The sequence below is a fragment of the Homo sapiens genome, chromosome 6 (genome assembly GCF_000001405.40).
Source record: "Homo sapiens chromosome 6, GRCh38.p14 Primary Assembly".
Lineage (NCBI taxonomy): Eukaryota > Metazoa > Chordata > Mammalia > Primates > Hominidae > Homo > Homo sapiens.
Genome location: NC_000006.12, coordinates 168,393,727 through 168,421,530, shown reverse-complemented (window position 1 = coordinate 168,421,530; position 27,804 = coordinate 168,393,727). Strand labels below are relative to the sequence as shown.

Here is a 27,804-nt window from a genome sequence, read left to right as displayed (position 1 = left end):
TGGCTACCAGCGGCTGGCCAGGGCGCTGGGGGGACTAGGGAGGAGTTAGTCAATGGAGACAAACTTTCATTTATGCAGGCTGAATAATTCTGGGAATCTTATGTACAGTGTGATTACTGTAGTTAATAGCAGTGTACTATATAGCTGAAATTTGCCAACAGAGTAGATCTCAGATGTGCTCAACACACACAAAAAGATAATTATATGAGATGATAGATGTTTTAATTAGCTTGATTGCAGCAATCATTTCACAATTTATACACATATCAAAACATCATGTTGTATGCCTTAAATATATATAATTTCTATTTGTCAATTATACTTCCATAAAACTGGAAAAAAGAAAAAAAAAGTATCTTTTCATGAGTATTTTTCCTGTTTCTCTGAATCCTTAGACAGATGGCCCTTAACTCCTGGTCTGTATGAGACCAATGTGGATACTGATGAAAAGCCTCAGCCCCTGGGAGGCATCGTGCAGGCGGCTGTGACTCAGTGCACCTGGGCCGAGCGAGGCATCTTCATTTAGGACAAAGGGACTTTAAGGTAGACTCTGCAAGAAACACCGAGCAACTGTGTGGCTTGTGGGGGTGGGGGGCGGGGCACACAAGTAAACGGCAGGCGAGCCACAACATCAGCCCCATGTGCAAGGGGGAGGTCCCTTGGTATGACCCACTCTGTGTCCCCAGCAGCGGGGGCAACGTCGTGGACACTCAAAATCTATTTGTAGAATTAATGAAGTACGAATAAATCACTAGGGGAGATATAAAGTCTCAGCCTCCAAGGTTTGGAGAATTCTGGATGGAGCGTCTCCAGCAGGAGCACTGCTGTGACTTCGGGAGGCTGAGCTGGGAGGATTGCTTGAGCTCAGGAGTTGGAGACTAGCCTGGGCAACATAGAAAGGCCTCATCTCTGCTAAAAATCACAACTTCTGTACTCATACTCCCCTCATGACTGATTTCAAGCTAACCACTGGCTCATGACATTCCTGCAAATGTCACTGTCAGCTCTTGGAAGCCGGGACGGCTGCTGTGGCCATCCTGACTGTGCTTCACAACTTGTCACTGACGGCGCTTTCCTTAGAGGAGGGTGGAGGAGATCATCAACAGGGTGGGTGGAAAGGAGCTCACCAGGCCAATGCTGCAAAGTCAGATTCGGGGCCTTTGTCTTCACGTATATGCAACGTCAGTGCGCCCATCTGCTCACGTCTGCTCATGTGTCCTCTTACACAGCCTTTGGGAAAGGGACCCCTGGAATGGTGTACTTTCTGACAAGTCCCAGACAGACACTGGGACTGGATTATGGTGTAGGCCGATGGGGCCCTGCATCCTCCAAGTCTTAAGAGTATAGGGCTAGAAAGTAGGTAAATTGGGGATCTGAGTGCATTGCAGAGAGGAGGGTACTGGACGCCCTTCAGGGGCCAGGGTAGAGGGTGACCCCTCCAGCTGACATTGGAGCTGAGGATTAAGGATGAGCAGAAGTTTCCAGGTGGATAAGGGAGGGAGGATATTCCAGGCAGAGAAGCATATGTGGGCTAATTGTCTGTGAATAGATTTGACTATTGTGATAGAGTCGCAAACACGAACTATTATATGCCACTGGCCTCGTAATGCAGAAGGCACGCTACCCCTGCTAGGAACGGCAACCCCGCCTCCCACCTCTCATTCTTTGTTTTATACAGAGAGGGGTGGATAGATACCCACGAGGCCACACAGAGAGGGGCCAGCCCCCAAGGTGCTTCCTGCAACAGGGGCAACTGAGGGCTCAGCAGTCCCTTACAAGCGAGGCCAAGTGGTCCTAAAGCTTGGCAGAGCCGGGGAAGAGGCAGGGGAAGGAGAGACTGGGTGCTGGAGCCCTAGGGTAGCACAGGAAGGGGGTGCCTCAGGCCTTGGGCCCCAGGCCTGTCTCATCTGACCCCTTGATTTGTCAGCCTTCCCCTCTCTCCCCCTTCCCCAGCCCTATAGTCTTAACACTGAGGATGGAGGGCCCCTACCAGTCTACACAATAACCACGTCCCGGTGTTGATGGGGGACATGTTAGAAAGTACGCTGTTCCAAGGGTTCACTTCCCAAAGGTCACACAAGAAACACGTCCTCCTGTGAATAAGACACACTTGATCTTAGCCAAAAGGCCGAGAAGCAATCTGCTGTGAATAAGACAATAGCCGTCATCCAATGGTGGAGGGATACGTCCCCTGCCCCTGTTCTGCCCCTCTGTCTGCCCCTCTGAGTTGGGAAGTTTGCTCTAAGGGAGAGAAAATGCAGCTAAAAATGGGGCAAAATTCACTTCTTTCTGGTATGCCATTTGATGTTTACCCAGGCAAATCTTTGTGTTCAATTTTTTCTCTTTCGATCATCATCAATGTTGCATACGCGTTAAGAGACAAAGGCCCGAATCTGACTTTGCAGCACGGACCTGGTGAGCTCCTTTGCACCCACCCTGTTAAGGAGCTCCTTCACCATCCTCTAAGGAAAGCACAGTCAGTGACAAGATGCCAAAGCTGCCGTCCCGGCTTCCAAGAGCTGACAGTTACATTTGCAGGAATTTTGTCAGCCAGTGGTTAGCTTGAAATCAGTCTGGAGGGAAGTACGAGTACAGGAATTTGTGAATGCTACAAACCTCAGGCCTTTTTTTCCCCAGAAAGCCATTGCTAAAGATTTATGCTAACCCACTGCCAGCACAGCTGAGCGTGACAGGCCTGGAGGAGGGCAGTGGGACGGGGGAGTGGAGGGAGAACAGCCAGCCCAGGCCCTGGGGAGCCTGGGCAGGGAGGGTGCACGCGAGCTCTGTGCAGCATGGCCACCCTCAGCTCTGCTCTGAGTTACATGCTCACCCTGGGTGCTGGGTCCTTGGGGGTCCAAGCAGGAGTCAACTAGGGAGGTGCATTTATTTGTCTTCCAGGCACAATCTGGTGATTGCATGGGTGAAGACCCAGGAGGGGAGAAAGAAAGGCAAGTGGACACACCTGAGAGAGCCTCCAAGGTGCTGTTAGCAAGGGTCGCTGAGGATTTAACTAAGCAGACAAGTGAGAGGAAGAACTGGTGCACGGCACATGGGGTTCTGGCTTAGGCGGCTGAGTGGGTGGGGCTGTCCTTCAGTGAGACAGAAGGGAGATGAAACAAATCTGGAAGGAGAAGCTGGAATTATGTTTTGGGCAACTGTCATTTGAGATGCCAAGTGAGCAATAGCGTATGAGACTAGAGTGCAAGGGCAGGGCTGGACATCAGGCTGGGGAGGGAGCAGCGGAGAGATGAGATCTGCGAGTGCATTCATCCACACAGGCTGGAGAGCCTCGGCCATGACCCTGAGCCCCATCAAACCCTCCTCCTCTAACTACGGTAGAAGTGGAGCTCACAGGAAGCCAGGAGCGGTGCCTCTTTTGAAAATAAAGGTGCCGCCTTCCCCTTTGAAATGAGCCTCTGGTGGAGATCTTCGACTCACCCAGAGGGGCCTGGCATCCCCCACCTTCCCTCCTCTGCGTGAATTTGCTGTCCGTCTCTGCTCCTTTGTCCCCTCTCCCCGTCTCTCTTCCTCTTTGTCCTCTCAGGAGGCGCAAGTGCATTTTTTGGCTTTAGACAACAAAAAACTTCAGAAAATGTTTACTCCCTCCTAAAATATTGGCAATCTCCTTGGAATCAGGCTTGAGCTCCCTGGGGACTTGATCTACTTCAGCCCGCGCTTCGGAGCATGTCCAGAGAGTGGAAATAAGGTCTGCTCCACCAGATGTGAATAGCATTTCTGTTTCAGCCTAGCATAGCAAATGCATTTAGAAAAAAAGCCAGAAAAAAACATTTCTTCACTCTTGGTCAGCCAGGCAGCACGTGCCAGGTGGACAATTTTACCTTTCATCAACAAATGGAGAATTCTTGGCTCCTTTTACGCCAATTTTGCCTCTTCTTCAGCCCACCTGGGACGTGCACAGCTTTTGACATGACTTCAAGTAAGGTTGCTTTACAAAATTGATGGGCATTTAGGATGAGAAAGACAGGATTCATGAGTGCCGATTGTATACTGAGAGCTTGCTGTGTCCACACAGCTGAGCCCGGTGGCGGGAGCAAGCCACAGGCCTGGCTACAGGCCAGCACAGTCCGGCTGTCTACACTGCGGCAGCCCGTGTGTTTGCACTAGGGTTTTAGAGTGATCTGATGCTCTCCTTTGCTTCTTCCTGGGGAAGACTATGCCACAAGGCCCCTGGCTGCCCCGGGGCGCCCCCTGCCTCTGTCCTTTCAACACCCAGCGCAGCTAGCAACAGCCAGAGGTTGTGACATGAGGCTTTCTTCAGTGAATCCAAGATGATGCCAATAAACAGCTTCCTTCCCAGTGGCCTCCACAGTTCCCTGGAACACCAGGAGTGCCCGTGGCGCACACTCAGCCAGGCCAGGAGCTGAGAAGTGGAGCTCCAGCGCAGGCTTCAGGGCAAATGGGCCCGAGTCTTTGGCAACACTCGGCATCTCTGTTTTCATGGCACCCTTCAAAACTAAATGCTAAATTACTCCTGGGCATTGAGTAACACCTCTCTTTGTCTACAGACAGATGGATGCGGTGATGGAGGCAGATAGATGGATGGGGTGATGGAGCTAGTGATGGAGAAACCAGCTTAAATAGAAAAACTACATTTTAATATGCTTAAGTCACTTCAGCCCCTAATGTTTACCTCTGTTGGGTTATTCGCCCCATGAATTCCTCTTACACATGCAGGAAAGCACCGTCCGCCCGTTCTTCTGAATCTCAGGTGCAGCCGTGTCTGTGTTGATCCACTGCGGACCCACCAAGGGCTGTGTGACTTCCTGGTGGCCGCAGAGGCTCTGCGCAAACGCCGCAGGTGGCTCTGCGTGTGGGCTCACAGGTGAGCCCAGGAGAGCCGCCTGTCTGCAAGATGAGGGCTTGGATGGAGGCACCCCAGGCTCCACCTTCGATGGCCTTGCTTTCCTCCAGCTACCAAGGAGACTCGTGGTAAAGCGTGTGTGGTTCTGGGCCAACTTTTTAAACATTTGATAAATATCTAATGGAGAGTTCGTGTGCCAACAAAGGGTGGTATTTTTATTATAAAGGTGTACTTGGTCTTCACTGGGAGCTCATAATGGAATTCCAGAGCAGGACGCATGTGGCATCGCTGCCTGGGGAGCTGCCAGAAACATCCAGGGGGTCCAGGAATGGGTCCAAGGTGTGAACAGGGTGTCTGGGGGTGCTCTGTCGGTGCGGGGGCCGTGGCTGGGCAGGCAGGCAGGCATGTGGGCTGTGTGTTCTGAGAGGCCTGCCCAGCGTGTGTGAGCCCCAGCATCTCAGAGCTCGGTCCACCAGCTCCACTACCCGTCCTCTGTCCTCCTGCATCTGTGGCAAGAGCACCCATGTGCATAGTGTACAGGTGCCAAGCTGGGACGGGAAGTCCGCGTGGGGTCCCAGCCTCCAGCTGTGGGTCCCCTCTCTCTGAGGCCACTTGGCGGGGCAGGGTGAAGCCAGACACACTTCACGCAGGCATGAATGCTTGCGTGTGACTGGGTTAGGACCAGGCCCACAGAGACTCAGTTTCCTTTTCTATAAAACAGAGACGATCGCACCTGTCTTGAAGCGGCGACATGGAGCTGAGATGTGATCCCTGCCCCTGGCCCAGCGCATGGTCACTGCCCAGTAAAGGCCGACTCCTTTCCATCCCTGGTGACCACACGCCGTCCCTCTAGGGAGTCTGTGCCGTCTCTCTTGGGGCGCCAGGCTCTGGTCCGCTCCAGGGTGTCAGTCTCCCCACAGGAAGCTTCAGCGCCAAGGCTGACAGATCCCGGGGCTGGGGGCGAGACTTAACCCTTTCTGAGCACAGACCACAAGGTGCGCCACCCCATCCAAAGGGAAAGGCAAGACCATCAAGGCAGGAAGAGCAAGCTGGAGCTCCCACCTTGGGTCTAAGTTCTCCTTTGGGCTTTTAAAATCCCACACTCTGAAGAGGAAGCACCCTGCTCCAGGATTCCCTGACCTTGAGACCTTTCTTTGGGTGGTCACGCGGCACCTCCCAGCCCTCCACCCTCATTCCCCCTTCCTACCTCAGGGAGAAGTGAGTCTGGTTTCCACTACACTGTCCCCTTGGCTCAGGAGGGGAATGTTCTGGAAAAGGCTGATCCCCTCTCCAGCTGCAGATGTTGTGCTGCTGTGACTTGTTCTTGCCTCACTGGAAGCATTGGGCGCCGCTTCCCATTTCTGATATTCAGAGCACAGTGGTGTGGACCAGATGCAAACTTTACTTCTTAGTGGAAAGACCACAGCTGCTCCAACGGTCGTGGGGTGACCCCCCCGTCTCCATGCTGCCGTGTGTCTCCGTTAAGTACTTGCTGTAGGCAGAGCAGTCAGGTCACGGTGGGAAAGGCATGGAAGAAATTAAAGAGGAGCCTGAGAATGATTAAAGTTCCAACTTCTTGTGAGCGCACAAGAAAATGTTTACATGACAATATGTCAGCAACTGTGAGTGATATAGTAAAGAAAAAAAAGAAACATATCACTTAGGGTGTGCAGGGGGATGAATAGATTTGGGCGAGGTTGATTAATCAGGGGAGGCTTTTGAAGCAGCTGAATTTTGAGCCGGGTCTTTAAGGAACAGACGTGAATTGGCAACGCCAGGAGTACAATGCGGACATGCCAAGATAAACAGAGCCCTACACAGTGGGTCCGTAGTATCTCTAGTCTCTCTTTGTGTGTGTGACTTCCCACATACAAAATAGAATCTGTGCTTTAGTTAAGTTTACTCACAGACGCTCATTATAATCCTATATTCAGTGACTCATAACTTTCTGAAAACTTTTTGGCTGAAACTATTTAGTCTTGTGTTTTGTTTTGGTGGTTTTTTGTCCCAGAAAGGTGATTTTGTGTGACTGTTTAAGACTGAACAAAATTGTGTTTTATTTTTGAGTCATGGGAGAGGGTATTTAAAAAACAGTCTCTGCTCTACAACATAAGTTTTAAGTGGTACGGCCAAATTATTTAGATTGCATATGCTTCTGAAGAATGTCTGGGTTATTCCTAAGACTGGCCTGGTTTATTTGTGGACATGATCTTTTTCTATAACCACCAAAGGGCTACAGATTCATCGTTTTCCCCCAAACACTGATGATGCATCTTCAGGACCGTAAGTAAGTCCAGTTGATTTTACAAGGGTGGAAAGGCCTCACAGGTCTTATTCAGCGCTGGTAAAAACGAGCGCGGGATATTTTAAAGGACCTGGTTTACAGAGTCAAGTAAGGCAGACTTTCCCCAGAAGCAGCTTCGGTGGCCGTTGAGGCACACAGACCGGAGCTTGGGCATTTCTGACCCCAAGAAGTCAGTTCTCAGAAAACTTCTGCAGGGTGGTCAAGAATTCATCCATCTCTTTCCTTCTCCCAACCTGCACATAAAGACGCCTGGAAGGAGCCCGCTGTAGATCAGGGAGGAAGAGGCCACCCGAAGAAGGGAAGGAGTTTTATACCCTGGGCTCCCTGACGTCTGTCGGACAGACCCCGCGGTGTTTCTGAAAGAGGAGGGGTGTGTGGAACCCCGTGGACGGGAGCGCACAGAGACGGGAGCACGGTTTCACTCGCCCTGCACAGCCGATCCCTGCCAGACCGGGGCCACTACCCAGGCCTAGGGTTTCTCGGTCTAGGTCCACTGTTAGCAAAGTTTTTTTAAAAAAAGGAAGAAAAAGCTGCCGTAGCAGCTCCTCTCTACAAACCTCTTGTGTTAGGAAAAGCAAAATATTCACAATGATGTAAATGGACTTAACACTACTGACCGGGACACTTAAAAATGGTTAAGGTGGGAAATTTCCTATTATTTTATACGCTGTGATTTTTACCACAATTAAAAATGTTAAAAAGGAAAATTCCCAGGCTGAAAACCTGGCAGCTTACCTCTCTTTATCTGCCTGAGGAGAACGGCCTCCCTCCTGCTGGACAAGCAGAGCGCAATTCTCCACACCCGGCTCAGGCCTCCGCAGCCGGAAGGAGGACTCCCTGGAGAGCGGGTCCACCTCAAGCAGTTCCTCTCCCCACTGCACCCACCGGCGCTCATGGCCGAGCTGGTACGCCATGTTTTTCGTGTTGTTTCTTGCATGTCCAGTCTATTTTCCGGGCTAAAGTGGTCATCTCCCTCCAGCAGAGACCTGGCAGTGTCTCCTCTGGAGCCTCTCCCGCAAAGTCCCCCAAACCCCACACCTGCGTACTTGCTCCCGCAGGGCCCGCCCCGCTCACGTACACGCTCCCGCAGGGCCCGCCGCGCTCACGTACACGCTCCCGCAGGGCCCGCCACCCCTGCGTACACGCTCCCGCAGGGCCCACCACCCCCGCGTACACGCTCCCGCAGGGCCCGCCACGCTCACGTACACGCTCCCGCAGGGCCCGCCGCGCTCACGTACACGCTCCCGCCGCGCTCACGTACACGCTCCCGCAGGGCCCCCCCTCCACCGCGCCCTTATAGACATTAGCCCCCACGCCTGCGTACACGTTCCCCCAGAGCCCGCCACGCCCGCGTACACACTCCTGTGGAATCCATCACATTGGTGTACACGCTCCGGCAGAGCCCGCCACACTCACCTAAACCCTAAAAAATGGAGGGCCAAGATTGTGGATTAAACCAAAGTCTACATTTCCTCTCTAAAAAAGGCCTATTCAAGTCAAGGGAACTTTTTAAGGTACGTGCCTACCAGGATGTGGGTGAGAGAAGAGAAAATGACACCCACAAACTTTTTGGAAAGCAGAGGGGGTTCTGAGCCTGCGGCGGGGGAAGCTGAGCCCCCATCTGACTTGCAGTAGAAAATTCTTCCAGGCTCAAGCTCAAGACCTGGAGACACAGCCACCTCCGGCAGGTGCGAAGGGCCAGCTAAGCCCGGGAGTGCTGGTGAGGCTCTGCCTGGATGCCCCCCTCGCGCCACACCTAGGCCTCAGCGGCATCTGGAGGTGAGTCGATGGGAATGGTCAGAGCGAGGGTGGACAGGGACGCCAGCCGCCACGGGGCAGAGAGGTCGTGTGAGACCAGGAGGGATGGGAGCCAAAGCCCGACCTCTTCCTCAGCTCGGCTTCCAGAGCCTGGCGGTGAATTATTCCCTTTCCAGGCAGAGGATTCGGAGCTCTTCCCCGGCACAGAGCTTGGAGCCAGGCAGGACGGACGACCCAGCCGAGGTCAAAGCAGGGACATTTCTCTTCACCCGCCTGGCTAAATATCAGAACCACACTGTCGCTATGAGCACATTTTTATAAATATTTGAGTTAAATCGTTATTAAATTGCATATGATTCATTCCATAATTATGGTTCAGTAGTTCTCAGTGAATCATTCAGTGATTAATAGTTTCTGGATTTAAAAGAAAACTTTCAGGTACAATCAGGAGAGCTACCCAAAATAGAGACCCAGAAAACGCTAGGAAATCAAGACCCTCCTCGCAGGGAGGACAGCCAGGTCCCCTGGCCTGCCCTGTAGGCATGCCCAGAACAAACCCTTTTCCTGTGAGCATGTGTCCCAGGTCACGTGCACGGACGCCACGGTGCCCCTCGCTGTCCCGAGTCACCTGCACGGACGCCACGGTGCCCCTCGCTGTCCCGAGTCACCTGCACGGACGCCACGGTGCCCCTCGCTGTCCCGAGTCACCTGCACGACGCCACGGTGCCCCTCGCTGTCCTGGGTCACCTGCACGACGCCACAGTGCCCCTCGCTGTCCTAATCCACCTGCACGGTACCGCGGTCTTCAGCTGGGTGCCAAGAATGTCCCTCCACTACAGCTTCTCCAGTTTCTTCTCTACACAGAGATTATGATGGCACCTTTCCCATGTGAGAATAGACCAATGCAGTTTTCTGCAGAAATTGGGGAAAACAGTAATTATATTTTACAACAATAACTGGGAAGGACGGTCTGGTGGATAACGTGTTTTACACCAGCTTCGAGGTTTGATCTACAGAGATGGCATTTTGTGGGAGCAAGCCAGGCCCCGCTTACAGCCCTGAGCTGTCTGGGGCCACAGTCACTTTCCACAGGCAGGCATGAGTTCTCCACCCTGAAGCGGGCTGCTGCCCAGTGACCTGGAGCGACGCAGAGGTGCTCCTTGTCCACACTTCGACCCAAGACCGGCCGCTGCTCCCCACCTCAGACCTTGTCCTCTGTCCACAGTCATGTTGCCTGCCTTTCCCTGGAGCCGACTGCCTTGGCCACCCGTGGCTTTGTGATGGGCGTGTTCTGTGAGGAGGACGTCAACTTCCTGCCCGTCTTGACCCCCTCTTCTGTGAAAGGAGACCTGTTGCAGGCCGGCGGAAGCGGGTGAATCACACTCGTCCAGCCCCGAGGCAGGGCCACATCCTCAGACCCATCATGAGTGGATCCGTTGCCGTGGCTGTTTCCGGCAGCTCGCTGTGTGTGTCCCAGCAACTGCTTTGAGCATTTTCCTTACATCGAAACTTACTTCATCAAAAAATAAAATAAAATAATGACTGTGAGGTCGATAACATCGTTACCGCTTTGGGGATGAGAAAATGCATGCCCAGCTCACGTGGAGAGGCCAGACTCAGCCCTCTGACTCCAGCAGCCACAGGCCTAGCTGCCTCCCAGCAGTGGGCAGGGGACCTACTGGTGGAACTTACTGGCTCAGGCCACTCCAGGAAAGGAGGTGGGGGGCCGGGAGGTGGGGAGCTCGCCCAGGGCCTTGGGTTCAGCACGATGGAAGGTCTTCTAGAACCAGGTCCCCTCCTGCCCACGGTGCAGAGCTGCTGGGCCGGGTATGCAGGGAATGGTGGTGAGGGGCCCATGAAGGAACGCCTAGAGAGAGACCCAGCCATGAAGGGCCAGCGGCCAAGAGCTCCCCACTGCCCCCGCCCTGGCAGGCTGTGCACCGCGGGCCTGAGAACAGCCTTCCTTTCACCAGGCTCCGTGCACGTCTGGTGTTTGGATTCCACGCCTGAGGAAACGTGTGGGTGACCATCTGGCTGCGCGGACGCCTGCAGGGCCAGGGACGGGCCGCCCCTCCTTCCCAAGGGCAAACAGCCTCGGGACGGCGACGGGACAAGCTCTGCTAAGTAGTCAGCCACAAATTTGTTTTCTTTGAAGGAAATAAAGAACAATTTTTCTATTGTATAAAACCAAAAATGTAGCACTTAATTCCAGTCTGATTCACTCTGTGAGCAAACTTAGTTCCCACACTGACCTCGGTCTCAGGGAGTGAAGTGAGGACTCCCTCCACCTCCTGAAGAATCTCAGAGAAGCTGTGGACCTTCCCGCCACTCCTGGGCCATTCGCCCCTGGAGGCCTAGGTTCCCATCACTGATCCCCCACCTGAGCCCTGGGGAATCCGGGGTGCCCCGATACTCTCTGCATCCTGCTGGGAGCCCCCCAGCTTCCGCTCTGAGCCTGACACCAGCTCTGCGCAGCTCTCATTGGCCATCCCTCGTCCTGTAGCTGTGCTGGTACCTTCTTGATGTCTCTCTGACAGCCACAGATGTGAGGCTTTAGGGTACAGCAGATCCTTCAGGGAAGTTTTGTGAGTCACAAGGAATAGGTTATACATCACAGAAAACATCACGTATCGGATACCCCCGTTTTTTAGCAACTCTAATGTTTTAAACTTATTAAAATAATCACGAACACGGGTGCAGAAAAATCTCAGCCAGTGCAAAGGGTCATGCAACAGAAAGCAAAGGTTTTCCATCTTTTGAGTCCCTCCCACTGCTCCACTGCCTGGTTCTAACGCCTTTTGTTTCTGGCTTTCAGCTCTTCTTCTGACCACTTCCATAATTCAGAATAATGCATAGATGCCACTAATATGCAGGCCCACTGATTTCTAATTGTTTTCATAGATAATACATCAACACAGTTTAAAAACCAAAGATTATTCAAAGCTATCCAGTGACTCCTTCCCCTGTGTACCTGTCTGCCCCTTTCCCACTCCCAGAGGCAGTCCCGTCTCACGGTCCTACATGTGTCCTTTGGGAGTTTACACACACAAAAGAAAATAAAGATAGACCTTCCTATTTTCAGCTTTTCTTTTTTTTTTTGAGACCGAGTCTCGCTCTTGTTACCCAGGCTGAAGTGCAATGACGCAATATCGGTATCGGCTCACCGCAACCTCCGCCTCCCAGGTTCAAGCGATTCTCCTGCCTCAGCCTCCGGAGTAGCTGGGATTACAGGCGCGTGCCACCAGGCCCAGCTAATTTTGTATTTTTAGTAGAGACGGGGTTTCTCCATGTTGGACAGGCTGGCCGCAAACTCCCGACCACAGGTGATCCACTGGCCTCGGCCTCCCAAAGTGCTGGGATTACAGGCGTAAGCCACCATGCCCAGCCCTTTCAGCCTTTTTTTTTTTTTTTTTTTTGACACTAAAGATAGCACAATGTAGACACTGTTTAGGACCTTGCTTTTTCACTTAGCAGCTGATTTTAGAAAACTTTCCATCTGGGCACCTGGAGACGCTGCTCCTTTTGTAAACTCCGTAGCATTCCGTGGCCCTGTGGGCTACAGATTTTCCCACCAGCCCCTCGTTGTTGGAATCTGAGCTGCTCCAGGTGCTGTTTGCACATCATTGCATGTGTTTGCGAGGACATAGGATAGGGCAAGGGCATTTCAGGGCAGGGGTTCACAGGCGAAGGGTGTATCTGTGCACCTGTGCACCTGTTCCTTCGACACACAGTGCTAAATTGCCCTCTACAGGGGATGAATCCTTCTGCCTTTGGATGTGTCAACTTTATGCAGTAATCCACTGACATGTGAAAGTTCAGGAGTTTAACATTTACATTGCGTGTCACCGCTGCCTTCTTAGCACTTCTCAAATCTGATCATGGCTTTGTTCGAGGCCTCACCTGTAGACTATGCCTATTGCTTCCCCGCATTATAACAAAAGGAAATGAGCCAACCTGCACTCCCCACTCTCCTCCCTTTCTTCCCACCTCACAGCTCTGTCAGAGCCTGCCTTCTAGATTACTAAAGCATGTCGCTGTCACCATGTAGCTGTCACTTTCCTTCCTGTGCAATGACTCTAAAATGTTCCTTACGCTGATTTTAAACCCTAAAAATGTCATTTATATTTTATCCTTTTATAAAATTATTTCCCTGCATAATTACGTAGCTTGAGACTGTTCAAACTAGACTGCTTAAAGGACAGCATTTCTGCTGGTTAAGTGGATATTCTTTCTTCATACTTTTTCTACTGCTCAAAACCATGGCGAATTTTACTTTGCTTTATGTGCTGTTTTATTCACTCAACAAGTATTAATTGAGTCAGGACTGGCTGTGTCATGGTCAACAAGCAACAGAACACCCGCTCCCTGGAGCTTACGTTCTAGGGACACAGAACATGTGGAACCATTGGGTGGCAGGGGAAGCAGGAGGCAAGGCCATTGTCACCCAAACAAGGAAGAGGAGAAGCCTTCACTTGGAAGTTGACAGCTATGTGGAGACTTCAGGAAGACAGAGAAGGAACAAGCCATTTGGATATCGGGGAAAGTGCCTTCAGGCTCAGGGGCAGCGTGGGTAACAGCTCTGAGGCTGCCTGCTGTGTGGACAGGGTGGTCAGGTGACTCCTGACGCTGGAATGGGCCCCAAGGGGGTCGTGATAGGAGGAGTGAGGTCAAGTGACCAGGGTGCAGGGCGTGCAGGGCCTCGAAGGCCGTGCTGAGAAATTTGGATTTCAGTCGAATATTACTGGAAATCACTGAACTGTTTAACAAGGCAGTGTTATTGTCTGACTTGTGTTTTTAAGTCAGAACTCCCTCTGCTATGAAGATAATAAATTGGAAGGGGGATGTGGAACATGAGCAATGGTGGAAGGAGGATGGTAGAGCATTCCAGACAAGAAGTGATGAAGGCCTGGGCCAGTATGTGGCAGCAGTGGTGGAAGATCTGGGTTCAGTTCTCCAGGTCCTCCAGCTTGCCCACTGCAGGTTTGGAACTTCTCAACCTTCAGAATTTTATGAGCCAATTCCATATATATATGAAAGAGAATTTTAAGACTGAGTTTTCTGAATTGGTTCTGGTTCTGGTATTTCTAGAATTGGCTCTCTAATCTTATTAGAGTTAGAGATTCTAGTGATTCTATTCTGTTTTCCAGTGGTAAAGAAGCACTGGCAGTCCATGGCATGGTTTGGAAATAAAGACATGCAAAATGTCTCCACCGGATCCTCCTAGTGAAGCACTGATAAGAAGCAAGGATCTGGGTAACAGTGAATATGATACTTTCAAACATGTTTGGAAAATGAACAAATAGAGTGAGATTGGCTGGTTGCTTCTAATGTCACTGGACAAAATGGGGAAAGATAAGAATAAGCTCAAGGATTCAAACTCCCAACTCAAGCCCCAGATAAATAATCTGAAGCTTCTATATGCACCCGAAAGGAGACCTTCATCTCCTGTAGCTACAGGGTTCAGATCACTGAAAATCAAACCTAGAATTTCATCCTATAACTGGATGAATTATAGCCCAAGTTGAACTCTCAGCCTCTTAGGATGTCTACTGTTAAAATGAAGTCATTGAATGGGAAAGAATGGAATCCTGTAAGCTAGGACGAGGATATGTGGGAAGACCCTGGTAAAGTTGGGGACATTGATCTCCTAAATTCTGATGAGTCTTTTTGCCAACAAACATGGCCTTCCCACCCCCAGTAGAAATGGCCTCTCCACCCTCAGTGGCATCAGCCATTCTACCTCTGTCTGAGGGGCTTAACCTTTCTTTGCCCAAGGACGTGGTGATGGCTTTTCCTGAGGCAGTTGCCATGCAAGACAATACTGACTCCTCAGGGGCCACCACCATCACCACCCGTCTTTGTTTCACTTCTGGAGCAATCACCAGACTCAAGTCCCAGCAGACCCCCAAAGGTGAGATTCAAAGCATGCCCCGTGAAAGAGTGCATTACTCTCCAAGAGAACTACATAGGTTTTCTAATTTGCACAGACTGAAATCCAGGGAGCACTGTGAAAATGGATATTAAGGGTGTGGGATAATTGTGGAGGAACGTAAAGTTGGACCCGCCACAATTTATTGATATGGGCTCAGTAAGCAGAGGTTCTGCATTTAATGCTGGAGTTTGGGAAGTGACAAAGGGCTCTCGCAGTATGTGGGGTTAGTTGTCAGTGAGTGAAGTGAATATCTCAGGCCTGCCTTGGTCTAACATAGAGGAAGAGATCCAAAAGATTAGAGACATTGGTATATTAGAGTGGATTTGTCATTTAAGATCTACTCACCCACACATGGAGGGTTCAGAAAACATTCCTCACAAATTTATTTCTCAAAGTATCAGTGACCACAGTGACATCTAATTTCTCCTGGAATTAGTGTCTGTTCAGAGCCATGTCTAGTAGTCCCTGAAAGGTTTAATTATTTCCTTTTCACCAATGCACAGTTACCTTGGAAGAAAACCATAGGTCTCTTTGGGGGACGACTGGGAGAAAGATCAGCAGTATAAATTTTCGGCATGTTACTAGGTTACTTCTTTAAGGGGATGTGCCTTCGTCTTCATCCGGGGGTTCTAGGTCTGTAAATTGGCTCAAGTCTGAGAGTTAATTGAGGAGCCATGATTCTCCATTTTTGATTCAAGTTAGACCTTTGTTCATTTGACCTAAAGCTTTTCTGCTTATATACAGATCAAGTAAGAATTCAGTAGGTTTCCTGTTTCATTTCCAGAAATGCCATAATTAACTCAACAATGCCATAGGTCTGCTTCAGTCAGACAGTTCTGGTTGCTCGTTTGACTCTGCTATTCATCACACCAACTCTGCCCACCATGCCTCTAGCAGTAGGGTCCTCCCCTTGTCTCCTGCCACCCTGGGATCCAATTACTCCTATTGCATTCAGGTTTTCTAGTGGAGTGGCTGCAGTTTCCACTGTGAGGTCTGGTGTGTAGAGAAGAGATCACAGAAGTGATCATCAGAAGGGATCGTCCTTCAAAAATTCCCCTCACTAACTTATTTCTCAAAGTATTGGTGAAAGGAAAAAAGCAAGTCAGAAGCAACACCACATCCCTGAAGGGATTGCAGAGATTAGTGCCACCATCAAAGGCCTGAAGCATGCAGGCATGGTGATTCCCACCGCACCTCCATTCAACTCTTCTGTTTGGCTTGTGCAGAGACAGACTCTTGGAAAATGATGGTGGATTCTTATAAACTTAACCAGGTAGTGGCTACAGTTGCATCTGCTATACCAGATATGATTTCTCTGTTTAAGCAAACTAACACATTCCCTGGTAGCTGGCATGCAGCTACTGATCTACCAAGAGCCTCTTTCTCCACCTCTGTTCATAGGCAGTCTGCTTTTGGCTGGTAAGACCAGCAGTGACCTTCACTGTCCCACTGAAGGGGTCTGTCCCCTCTCCTGCCCTGTGTCATGGTTTGTTTCCAGGGATCTTGGTCGTCTTTTTCTTCCACATGTTACACTGGCCCATTACATTGACATTGTGCTGGTGGTACCTAGTGAGCCAGAAGTAGCAACCGCCTTACAGTTATTGGTGAGACATTTATGTTTCAATGGTGGAAAATAAATCTGACAAAAATTCAGGGGCCCTCTAAGTCAGTGAGATTTCTAGGGGTCCAGTGGTGTGGGGCCTGTCAAGAGAGCCCTTGTAAGGTGGAGAAAGGCTTGTTGCATCTGGCCCCTCTTACATCCAAGAAAGAGGCACCATGCTTAGCAGGCCTACTTGGATTTTGAAGGCAACACATTCCTTCCTTGAGTGTGCTGTTCCAGCCCATTTACTGAGTGACCTAGAAAACTGCTGGTTTTGAGTGGAGCCCAGAGCAGGAGAAGGCACTGCAACAGGTGCAGCCTGCTGTGTCCGCTGCTCTGCCACTTGGGCCACTTGCTGGAGCAGAGCCAGCAGTGCTTGAGGTGTCAGTGGCAGACAGGGATGCCCTGAGGAGCCTTGGACAGGGCCCTATAGGTGAATCTTAGTGCAGGGCCTTAGGATTTTAGAGCAAAGACTTGTCATCCTCTGTGAATAATTATTCCCCTTTGGAGTACCAGCTCTTGGCCTGCTAGTTGGCCCTAGCAGACTGAATGCTAAGCTATTATTTTTCTTTTTTGAGATGAAGTCTTACTTTGTTGCCCAGGCTGGAATGCAGTGACACGATCTCAGCTCACTGGAACCTCCGCCTCCCGGGTTCAAACAAGTCTCCTGCCTCAGCCTTTTGAGTAACTGGGATTACAGGTGCGTGCCACCACATCTGGCTAATTTTTGTATTTCTAGTAGAGATGGGGTTTTGCCATGTTGACCAGGCTGGTCTCGAACTCCTGACCTCAAGTGATTCATGTGCCTTGGCCTCCCAAAGTGCTGGGATTACAGGCATGAGCCACTGCCCCCGGCCTGAATGCTAAGCTGTTGACCCACCATGTTGCTATGTGATCTGAGCTGCCCTTCATGAACTGGAGGGATTGCAGAGATTAGTGCCACCATCGAAGGCTTGGAGGCAAGGGTAGCAATTCCCACCACATCTCCATTCAACTCTTCTGTTTGGCTTGTGCAGAAGACAGGCTCTTGGAAAATGACAGTGGATTATTATAAGCTTATGATACCTTTTGTTGTGAAGTGAGTCCCTTGATAAGAAGCAATGCTGCATGAATACCATGATGGCAGATAAGGCATTCTGTAAAGACATGGGTGATAGTTTTGGCAGAAACATTGCATTCGGGGACAGAAAATTCATATCTAGAGTATCTGACCCGCCAAGCCGTAAAGTTGAGCATGCACAGTGACACTCCATCCTCAAATGGAAGGGGGCGTGCATGGGATCGGGCACCAGTAGGTCCTGAGGGCACAAGTAAGTTATATAAAGAAGTGGTGCAAATGCCCACAGTCTCCACCCCTGCTCCCCTGCCTTCTGTCTCAGCCTGCACCTGTGTCCCCACTGAGAGTTCCCTGTGATCATTTGACAGAGAAAGCAAGGCTAGAGCCTGGCTTCCAGATGGTTCTGCACTACACAGAGGCATCACCCACAAGTCGACAGCAGCACTGCAGCCCCTTTCGGGGACGTCCCTGAAGCACATGGTGAAGGGAAACCTGCCTGGTCAGCAGAACTCCAGGCAGTGCATCTGGTTGTGCACTTTGCCTAGAAGGAGAAATTCTAGATGTATGCTTACATATCCGTGTATGGGCTGTAGCCAATGGTGTGGCTGGATGGTCAGGAACTTGGAAGGAACATGATTAGAAAATTGGGAACAAGAGAATTTAGGGGAAAGATATGTGCATAAACCTCTCTTAGTGGGCAAAAAAATAACCATGAAGACATTTGCATCACATGTGAACACTCACCAAAGGGTGACCTCAGCAGAGTAGGAGTTTAGTAATCAAGTGGCTAGGATGACCGTCGTGTGGATACCACTCAGCCTCTTTCCCCAGTCCCCACTGTCATTATTTATTGGGCTCAGGAACCAAGTGGCCTTGATGGCAGGGATGGAGGATATGCATGGGCTCAGTGACACGGACTTTTGCTCACTGCAACAGCCATTGCGTGGCCAATCTGCTAGCAGCAGAGAGCAACACTGAGCCCCCAATGTGGCACCACTCCCAGGGTGATCAGTCAGCTACTTGGGGTGGGATTACATTGGATCGATTCCATCATGGAAGGGGCAGTATTTTGTCTTTATTTGAATAGATACTCTAGGTTTGCATCTTCCTTCCCTGAATGCAACACTTCTGCCAAACCTACCATCCATGAGCTTACAGAATACAGCATTGCTTCTGATCAAGGAACTCACTTCACAACAAAAGAAGTATAACGATGGGCCCATGCTCCTGGAATTCAGGGTCTTACTGTGTTCTCTACCATCCTGAGGCAGCTGGCTTGATGGAACCACGGAATGGCTTTAGAAGATGCAGTTACAGCATCAGCTAGGTGGCAGTACCCTGTGGGCTGGGGCAGGGTTCTCCAGAAGGCTGTGTGTGTTCTGAATCTGTGTCCAATAATGGCACCCTTTCTCCTAGAGCCATAATCATGCTCCAGGAATCAAGAGGTGGAAATAGGAGTGGCACTCCCTATCACCCCTAGTGACCCATTGACAACATTTTTGCTTCCAACTTTATGCTCTGCTAACCTAGAGGTCCTAGTTACAAAGAATACAAAGAAAGGCATGTTTCCACCAGGAGACACAGCACTAATCCCACTGGACTGGAAGTTAAGACAAAGAATGCAAAGAAAGGCATGCTTCCACCGGCAGACACAGCACTGATTCCATTGAACTGGAAGTTAAGACCAATGCTCTGCAACTTCGGGCTCCTTCTGCTTCTGAATCCATATGCAAAGAAGAGAGTCCCTGTGCAGCTGGGGTGATGGATCCTGGCTTCTAAGAAGAAATTGGCCTATACTACTCCACAGTGGAGGTAAGCAAGAGTGTGTCTGGAATACAGGAGATTTCTGAGGCTGTATCTTAGTATTACCCTGCCCTGTGATTAAGGTCAGTGGAAAACTCAACCTAATCCAGGTAGGACTACAAATGGCCCAGAACCTTCAAGAATGAAGATAGTCTATAGGTAAAGAACCATGAGCAGCTGAGGTGCTTGCTAACAGCAAAGGGAACACAGAGTGGGTAGTAGAAGAAAGTCATTGTAAATACCAGCTATAACCATGGGATCAGTTACCAGTGACGTGTTGTAAATACCAGCTATGACCATGGGACCAGTTACAGGAAAAAGGGCTGTACTCCTCATGAGGATTTTATCCTTATTTTGTTATGAGTGTGAGTGTGTGTGTATGTGAATGTGTGTGAGAGTGTGTTTGAGAGTGTGTGTGTGGTGTGTGTGTATGAATGGCCCAGTCAAGTAGATGCATAAAATTATCCACAAGTCCAACTCTTGTCAACTTGGCACCCATACACATCTCCTGAAATCATACTTAATCTCAAAATAAAGACAATAATAAGGTCATAATTTTTCCTTATGACCTTAATAAGATTAATTTATATATATGTGTATATATATATGTTTTCTCTTCTCTCATTACCTTATGTAACAGATGATGAATTGACTTTATATCATAGTATTAAGTATTGTTCATTTTACATTATACTATTTAAATCATGGGATATCAAATAGAAGCAAAAACATCATCCAAGGACTTTGCTTTCTTTTGCGGGAAGGAGCTAGTGCATTTTTGGTTGTACTCAGGACAGTTATATCATGATAGGCAGAATTATGACCTTATGATTATCTTCATTTTGAGATTAAGTATGCTTTGAGGAGATGTGTACGGGTGCCACGTTGACAAGAAGTGGATTGTTGTGGCTAATTTTACATTAACTTGACTGGGCCATGGGGTGCCCAGACATTTCATTGAGTGTTATTTCCAGATGTGTCTCTGAGGGTGTTTTGGATGAGATGAACATTTGAATGGTGGACTGAACTCACCGATTGCCCTCCCCAATGTGAGTGGGCCTCACTCAAGCAGTTGGTAGTCTGAACATAACAAAAAAGCCAAAGAATAGGGACCTCCTCCTGCCTCTCTGTGGAGCTGGGACAGTGGTCTTTTCCTGCCCTTGGTCTGAAATGGAAACACCAGCTCTACTGGGGCCTCAAGCCTGCTACCTTCAGACTGGAACTGAAGCCTGGGATCTCCTGGGTCTCCAGCGTAACAGCTGCAGATCATGGGACTTCTCAGCCTCTATAATCACATGAGCTAATTTTTTGTAACAGATATCTCTCCATCTATCTCTATCTCTATCTATTTATCATCTATCTATGCATCCATCCTATTGGTTTTATTTCTCTGGAGAACTCTGCCTAATTCAATCAGCAAGGAAGTGGAAGAAGACAGGACAACAAGAAAGTCCAAGCCCGGGGCCACGTGCTACTCCCATGTTACGAGTTGGGTGATGTTGGGGCAGAATAAGACTAAGGAAGAAACATGAGGCAGGATGAATGCCAGAAAGTGGGGGCCTCAGGTGTTACAGGAAGGAAGGATTTTAAAGATGAGGGTGAGGTTGTGCTACATGCTGCTGGTAGATCTGGGAAGAGGAACATGAAGAACGCACAGTTGCTTTTAGTAATGGAGAGGTGCCTGGGACCTTGTCATTACCAGCATCGGTGAGGGGGCAGAAGAGTGGATTCAAGAGGAGCCAGGAGGAAAGGCACACAGCAAGTGGAGGGAGCATGTTGGGGGGTTCTGATATAAACACCAACAGAGAAACAGGGCACTAAATGAGGGAGAAAGTGAAGTCAAGTGGGAGGGGTTTTTTTGGAGATAGGAGGAAAACAGCATATTTTTATGGCCATGGAAAAAATCCAGCGGAGAGGAAGCAATGAGGGGCAGGGGCTGGAGAAGGGCCAGAGGGGATGGGAGCCAATGCATGTGGATGGTGAGTATTTTGTAGTTGTTTTCTCAGGGTTTCCAACTAGTTATTTGTTTTCTCTTGGTTTCTTGCAGACAGCACATGCCTTCCTCACATAGCCCTGTTCCTCTGGGTCTTCCATCATGAAGCTTCTTGGACGGAATGTGCTTCCTCTTTGAAGAGTGTCTTCCAGGGGCTCTGACTGCCTCTTCCAAACTGATTTCTAGGATCCCTGCCCAGCTATCCTCCTGGTCTCTTCACCACTGAATTCCTGGATTAATTCCATTTCTACTTAAATCAATCCCACGTCATCCTTGTTTTCTAGATTCCTTGTATGATTTACTAAAGAAAATTGGTCTTTTAAAATCAATGTCAATGTATAAGGTAAATTTTATTATTCTCAATTGGTCTGAAAATGCCTTCATTTTCCCCTTCTCACACTTACTATTAGTTTGTGAATTTGGGGTTCAAAATCACTCTTCCTCATCACTTCAAAGTTATTTCTCTTTTTCTCCCTTAAGTGTATGGTAGTTTGTATAATGAGATTTTTGCAGATCTGGTTCCTGTTTTTGTAGGGAACAATTTTTGGTTCTTTCTGGACACTTTTTGTTTTTTGTTTGAGATGTAGTTTCACTCTTGTTGCCCAGGCTGAAGTGCAATGGCTCAATCTCAGCTCACTGCAACCTCTGCCTCCTGGGTTCAAGTGATTCTTCTGCTTCAGCCTCCTGAGTAGCTGGGATTACAGGCATGTGCCACCACACCCAGCTAATTTTTGTATTTTTAGTAGAGACAGGGTTTCACTATGTTGGCCAGCCCGGTCTCAAACTCCTGACCTCAGGTGATCCACCCACCTTGGCCTCCCAAAGTGCTGGGATTATAGATGTAAGCCACTGAGCCTGGCCTCTTTCTGGACACTTTTGGTATCTTCTAGTTGATTATTCTTGTAAGTCTGAATTTTTAACCAGAATATGATCATGTGCACTTCATTTTCCATTGATCCTGCTCCACCCTTAGTGAGTGCTCTCAGCTTAAGGATTTCTGCCTTTCTTCAGCTTGACATTTTTCTTGTATCATGTCTTTGATTGTTTCTCTATCCCATTTTCTGTTCTCTCCTAGTGTCCTTGTGAGAAGGAGATCAGGTTCCCAACTTGACTGATTGCATTCCTTCAACTTCCCTTCATATTTTTCACCCCTTTGTCTTAATCCTTGTTCTGAGAAATAATCTGGCTTTTATCTTCAAGTTTCTGAATTCAATCTTTAATTATCTTTATTCTGTTATTTAACTCCTTTACCTAAAACATTCCTTCCATCACATATATAGTATTCAAAAATTTTTTTATTCGTTTATTATTCAGTTTTCATAGAAGCTTTTTAAAATTATTTTTAGTAACCCAGGAGCATTGATTTTGTATCATTCAGACATTTCTGAAGTTATGTTCTCATGTTTCCTGAATCATTTGTCTTCCATGCTGAATCATTTGTTGGTTCTGTTCACATTGGTTGGCTCTGTTGATGGCATAGAAAGCCCCCTTGGTTGTTAATTTGTATTTGGGAGCGAAAGGCCAGGTCAGTGAGGCATCTGCCTTTCTCACGCACTGGCATGCACAGAGAAGCTGTACTCTCCTAAGGACAGTGCGTCAGTTTCTCATGGAATTCTCCTCTTCTGGCCTAGAGGACCTGCCCTTCCTTAGTCTTCCAGGGAGCCAGCTGTGTTTGCCCCATTGCCCCTCCCTGACCCCTGGTGTTTTCTGAGATGTTGTGTCCTCTGCTTGACTTACTCATCCACCTGACACTCTGTCTCATCTTTTCATCTCCCCAACTTCAGTCAAACTCCCTGATCTGCCCTTGGTTCTCCCTCCTGTCCTCATTGCTTTTATGATTTTATTCCCTTCTTTACAACTGAACTACAATGGAATGGGCCCTGGGCACAGCGGGTGCTGAGTGGATGTATTTTGTCCACCATCTTGAACCCCAAGTTCCTAGAATCCTAATCCCAGGGATTTCTCACCTTCTCCAAGTCTCTACACAGAACACCCAAGCTTTGCCCATCCATCTCCCTATCTTTCCCTCTCCCTCACCTGCTGACACCTCCCTCTCTAACACTACACAGGAATTCCAAATGCTTCTGACTCCCTTGCACATAACAACTCAAGTCTCTCCAGCCGACACTTCAGACCAGGCTCCCTAACTGCATTCATTTATCAACAGGGTTTATTAGGGGGTCCACCTAACAAAACCACCGCCCACTCTTTGCAGAGACCCTGGAAACCATCTTCATAGAAGACAATTATAACTATAAATAACAAGTATCTCCCTCTTGTACCTGGTTAAAAACTTGTCAGATACCAAGAAGCCACATTCTTTGGCTTTGCTAAATCCCTCCACAAAAGATGGGAGAGCAAGCTTTCTTTGCTCCCCCCCCAAGATTAACCCAATGCGCAGTATTTCCTGACATAGTTACCAGGGAAAGTCGCTGCCAGGGTAAACCCGTCTGGTGCAGAACAGGATGGTGGCAGAATGTGCCTGTGACTGTAGCCCATAGTCAGGTCCAGGGTTCAAGCGCATCACTCCTCTCTCTGGAAATACAAGCCCCAGATACAGCACTCTGGAGGAAGTTCGTAGTCTATTCCTGGGTTAAAGTATAAAATTGAATATTCATTGTTTTGGGTGCGTGAATTAGCATTTATTCATTTCCTGTAACATCTTGAATGCACTGTAAGGCGGATACATTCCCTCTGTTCTGCAGCTGACATTTCTGACCTCAGTCAGTTGCCTGAAAAATGCACTTTACTGATCACAGGACATCAGACAGCAGAATAAAATGGATGAACATATCAATTTCTGCTGTTAGAAAAAAATCCCAAAGCTCCTGCCCATTTGGAGATGAATCTGTATGAGCATAACTGAAAACAAAAATGGGTTTGCAACTTGCAATGTGGCAGCATGTACTGATGGGGGTGGTATAAATATCTTTGTGTTACCAGGGCTACAGGCATCCGATAACCTCATGGGTTCCATGATTTGCTGGAAGGGTCCCTGGAGGAGGGCACCGTCCAGGACGTTGTGATGTGCTCACCTCTGGCCGTGGGCGGCTGAGCCCTGAGGCCTCCAGGGTGAGCTGGACCGCACTCCTTCTGGAGCTCTGTCTGCTCGACTGCCCTCAGAGCATCCGTCAGTTGGCTTCCATAACTCACTTTATTTGCTCTGACTCAATCGGTTGTGCACATCAGGGGTTTTTATTGACCAGGCAGTATCCGGGGCTGGATCTGGACAGGACTGTGTCCACTCTTTGTGAGATGTTTCCATTTCGGCAGGAAACGTTCCCACGTAGGCGTTCTGGAGTTCTGGCTGAAGAACCTTTAATCATGTTGTTTAGAAAATGGGTCTGTTCACCTTTCCCTGGCTCGTTGTCAGCCTGTCTTTTCGCTATATCCATTTTGGTGTAAGACACATCTGTTCCCTCCGACCTGTTCGCCTTTACATGCGCATCCTGGCCTGCGATTAATTTTCATTTCCATGGCTGTGCCATATGGGAGTGACCACGTTGTTGAGAGCTTGTTAGCCAGATGCCCCCGAGGGAGACATTGAGAGTCCAGTTATTGGACGTTAGATTAAAGGAGGCCGGTCAGGTTCGTGTCTGCTGTGGGCCTGGTCAGCCGGGGTCTGCAGCTTAGCTGCTGGGGGCTTTTCTCCTGGTGACCGGGCGGGAGTTTGCAGCTCGGAAGTGCTGCCCGCAGGCAGAAGCCGGGTGGGTCTGGGTGCATCTCTGAGAGAATTGTTCATATCCTGTGTTCAGAAAAGAGTCCAGTACTTCACTTTCCTTTCTTATCAAATGCTTGTTACAATCTTAAGACGTAGAGGCCGTTGTTACTGGTGACCAGTGCTTGCTGCCAGCCGAGGTCTCCCAGGTGAGCTGGAGTGAGTCCCAACCCTGGTGACTCCGAATGGGGCTTTATGTGGAGATGACATCTTCACACAGGTAATCACGTCAAAACGAGGTCAGCACTGTGCTCCCTCATCCAACATGACCCGTGTCCTCCTGAGAGGAGGGAATGCGGAGACACCGTGTAGTGACTGGTGTTATGCTCACGGGCCACAGGTGGAGGACGTTCTCAAAACAGGAGAGGCCTGGAGTCAGTCCCTCTCTGGCGCCTTCCGAGGGAGCCTGGCCCTGCTGGCACCTTGATCTTGGATTTCTGGCCTCCAGAACCATGAGAGGATACATTCCTGCCATTGATTTGTTCCTTGGTTTGTGGGACTTTGTGAGATTGGCCCTAGAACTCATGCCTGAGGCCACGGGCCTGAGATGGCACAGCCGATGGGTCAAGCAGGGTGCAGAGGCCGTGCTAAGCCCAGAGCTGGGGGCTCCTAGAACACCTACCTGAGGCCACGGGCCTGAGACAGCACAGCTGAGGGGTCAAGCAGGGTGCAGAGGCCATGCTGAGCCCAGAGCCAGGGGCTCCCTCACTCTGCGGCTGCTACCTTCCCGGGAGGAGTGTGTCATGCTGCCGGCTGCATCCCCAAGTCCTTCTGCACCTGTCTCTACATTCAGAATGGCTTATCCATGGCGCCCACCATTCAGCTTCTGGACCCCATCCAGATGTCCACACGACCCTGGGTGTCTGGTCCCTGTGAGGATGCTCTCCCCAGTCCCGCCTTTGTCAGCTCTGGCTGTTGTGATGAAGCCACAGACTGGGTGGCCCAAACGATGAGTAGTTACGAAGATCCCTCACAGCTTCGGATGCTGCAGCTCCCTGAATCACAGTGGCAGGTCCCTGAATCACAGGCTGCAGGTCCTGAATCACAGTGCCAGGTGTGGTTACTAGGGAGGACCCTCTTCCCAGTGTGCAGATGGAAACTTCTCATTGTCACCTCCTCAGATGGAAACAGGAGTGAGGGCTCCAGCATGTGACGCTGGGTGTATGATTCTGACCATCGCGAATCCCACCCTGGGCCCTCCGATGGGCTCTAGGAGTGGACACAGGTGTGGGGACACCCCCAATGGCTCCTGAGGGTGGGAAGCTGCGGCTGGAGCAGCAGGCGGGGAGGGGAGGGCTGGAGGGCCGACTAGAGGGGCCTGCCCACATTCTGGTTACATTTCTGTGCGCTTTTGCCTTTCCCTTCAGAGCAACCCTGAAGGTGCGACCTGGTCCTCATCTCCTGTGCCCAGCGCCCAACACAGTGTGATGGTTGTGCCCAAAGGTCCTGAGGGTTCAATGAGTGAGGCAGTCAGGAGTGAGAGGGAAGGAAGTGAAAGAAGAGACACACCTGCAAAATCAGGCAGATGGGGCCCAAACGAGAGGCGCTCATTCCCGGTAGGAATGAAAGGAGAATGCCTGCCTGGGGGATTTGGAGCCGCTGGACAAGGCCATAAGGGTGATTAGGATCTTGACCGGTGGAGAAAAAGACAGGAAAACCTGGAGCCTGGCCCGGGGAAATACACAAACATATTCCGAAGCCAGGGACTGACTCAGCTGTGCTGTGCAGGGAACTGATGGGGAGGTGTCACCAGCGTCCTGGGACCGAACAGGAGACTGTTGACGGGGCAGCCCAGCAAACAGATGTGGGTCGTCTCACAGTCTCGAAGCCAGAAGCCCCAGGTCCAGGTGCCACAGGGCTGGCTCCTTGTGGGGCTGTGAGGGAGGCTCTGCTCAGGCCTCTCTCTGGCTTCAGTGGTTGCCAGTGGTCCTTCCCCCATCTCTCTCTCCATGGCCACGCAGCCGTCATCCCCCATGCACCTGTCTCTGTGCCTCTGAGGACACCGTCATATTGGACTAGGCCCACATACTTCAGGGTGACCGTCCCTCAGCTAAGCCCAGCCGCAATGGCCCTTTTCCCAAATCAGGACACATTCCCAGGCACTGGGGGTTGGACTTCAATGCATGAATTTTGGGGAACGTCTGCCTTCTACCCAGGTAGACGGATTTTGCACTCTGTGTATTAGGCTGTGCGGAGCCATGGAGGGTTTGAGGTTACAGTGACCACGGAGCAGCCCCAGCTCTGACCTGAGCCCTGCACTCTGAGGTCTTAGCTGTGCTGACCTGGAGGTAGGAGAAAGATTGAAGGAGGAAATTAAGGCTTTCCAGAGCCCAGGTGAGCCTTGTGCAGGGCCTGGACCCGAATGGAGGCCGTGAGAACAGGAGGAAGGTACAGGCCCCAGGACAGAGTCCGAGGAAGAGTCCTCAGAATGCTGCCTCTCAGACATAAGCGGCAGCAGGAGGGGCAGGGGGAGGCGAGGCTCTCCAGAGGGGGCAGGCCCCAGAAGAGGGGATGCGGGGGGCAACCTGGTATGTGAGGTGAAACCAAAAGCACAAAGCTTAGTTGTGAGTCATCTGTTGATGAATCCACTGTGCCACTGATCCCTTCATGAACCCCTTGCCCACTGCTAGAGTCGACGCCTCTCTAGGCTGGGTGTGAGTGGATTCACCCATTTGCTAATTCAGAGGCTCTTTCAGCCTGCTCAGATTCCCTGTGGATCAGGGCCCAGTGCAGATATGACCCAGCCACACCAAGCCTGGGCCCTGTGGACGTGGCCTCCGTCACTGTGACACCACACACAGGCTGGAGTGACCCAC

The 27,804-nt window shown here is 50.0% G+C and overlaps 2 long non-coding RNA genes across 4 annotated transcripts, besides 2 other annotated features; one reads left to right on the top strand and one right to left on the bottom strand.

Moving 5' to 3' along the window:
* Positions 1–203: 203 nt before the first annotated feature.
* LOC105378141 (uncharacterized) lies at positions 204–8,150 on the bottom strand. The gene is made up of 2 exons (XR_943293.3): positions 7,863–8,150; positions 204–6,314 (listed from the first exon to the last, which is right to left on the bottom strand). It is a non-coding gene; the product is annotated as an uncharacterized LOC105378141 (long non-coding RNA).
* A 273-nt stretch (positions 8,151–8,423) lies between these two features.
* LOC105378140 (uncharacterized) lies at positions 8,424–11,079 on the top strand. 3 transcript variants are annotated; one of them, XR_007059935.1, is made up of 3 exons: positions 8,424–8,641; positions 8,776–8,906; positions 9,062–11,079. It is a non-coding gene; the product is annotated as an uncharacterized LOC105378140 (long non-coding RNA). The 3 variants fall into 3 exon arrangements; XR_943292.2 differs by having other exon boundaries at positions 8,424–8,906; positions 10,111–11,079; XR_943291.2 differs by having other exon boundaries at positions 8,424–8,906.
* Positions 9,027–10,226: an enhancer, noted in NCBI's record as "CDK7 strongly-dependent group 2 enhancer chr6:168811985-168813184 (GRCh37/hg19 assembly coordinates)". NCBI's record gives its function as "activates an origin of replication core promoter dependent on BRD2, BRD4, P300/CBP, MED14 and CDK7 cofactors, with strong dependence on CDK7, by STARR-seq in HCT116 cells {active_cell/tissue: HCT116}" and the evidence as "EXISTENCE:reporter gene assay evidence [ECO:0000049][PMID:35650434]".
* Positions 25,495–25,996: an enhancer, noted in NCBI's record as "H3K27ac hESC enhancer chr6:168796215-168796716 (GRCh37/hg19 assembly coordinates)". NCBI's record gives its function as "activates a minimal SCP1, AML or CMV promoter by ChIP-STARR-seq in naive H9 embryonic stem cells {active_cell/tissue: H9 hESC(naive)}" and the evidence as "EXISTENCE:reporter gene assay evidence [ECO:0000049][PMID:30033119]".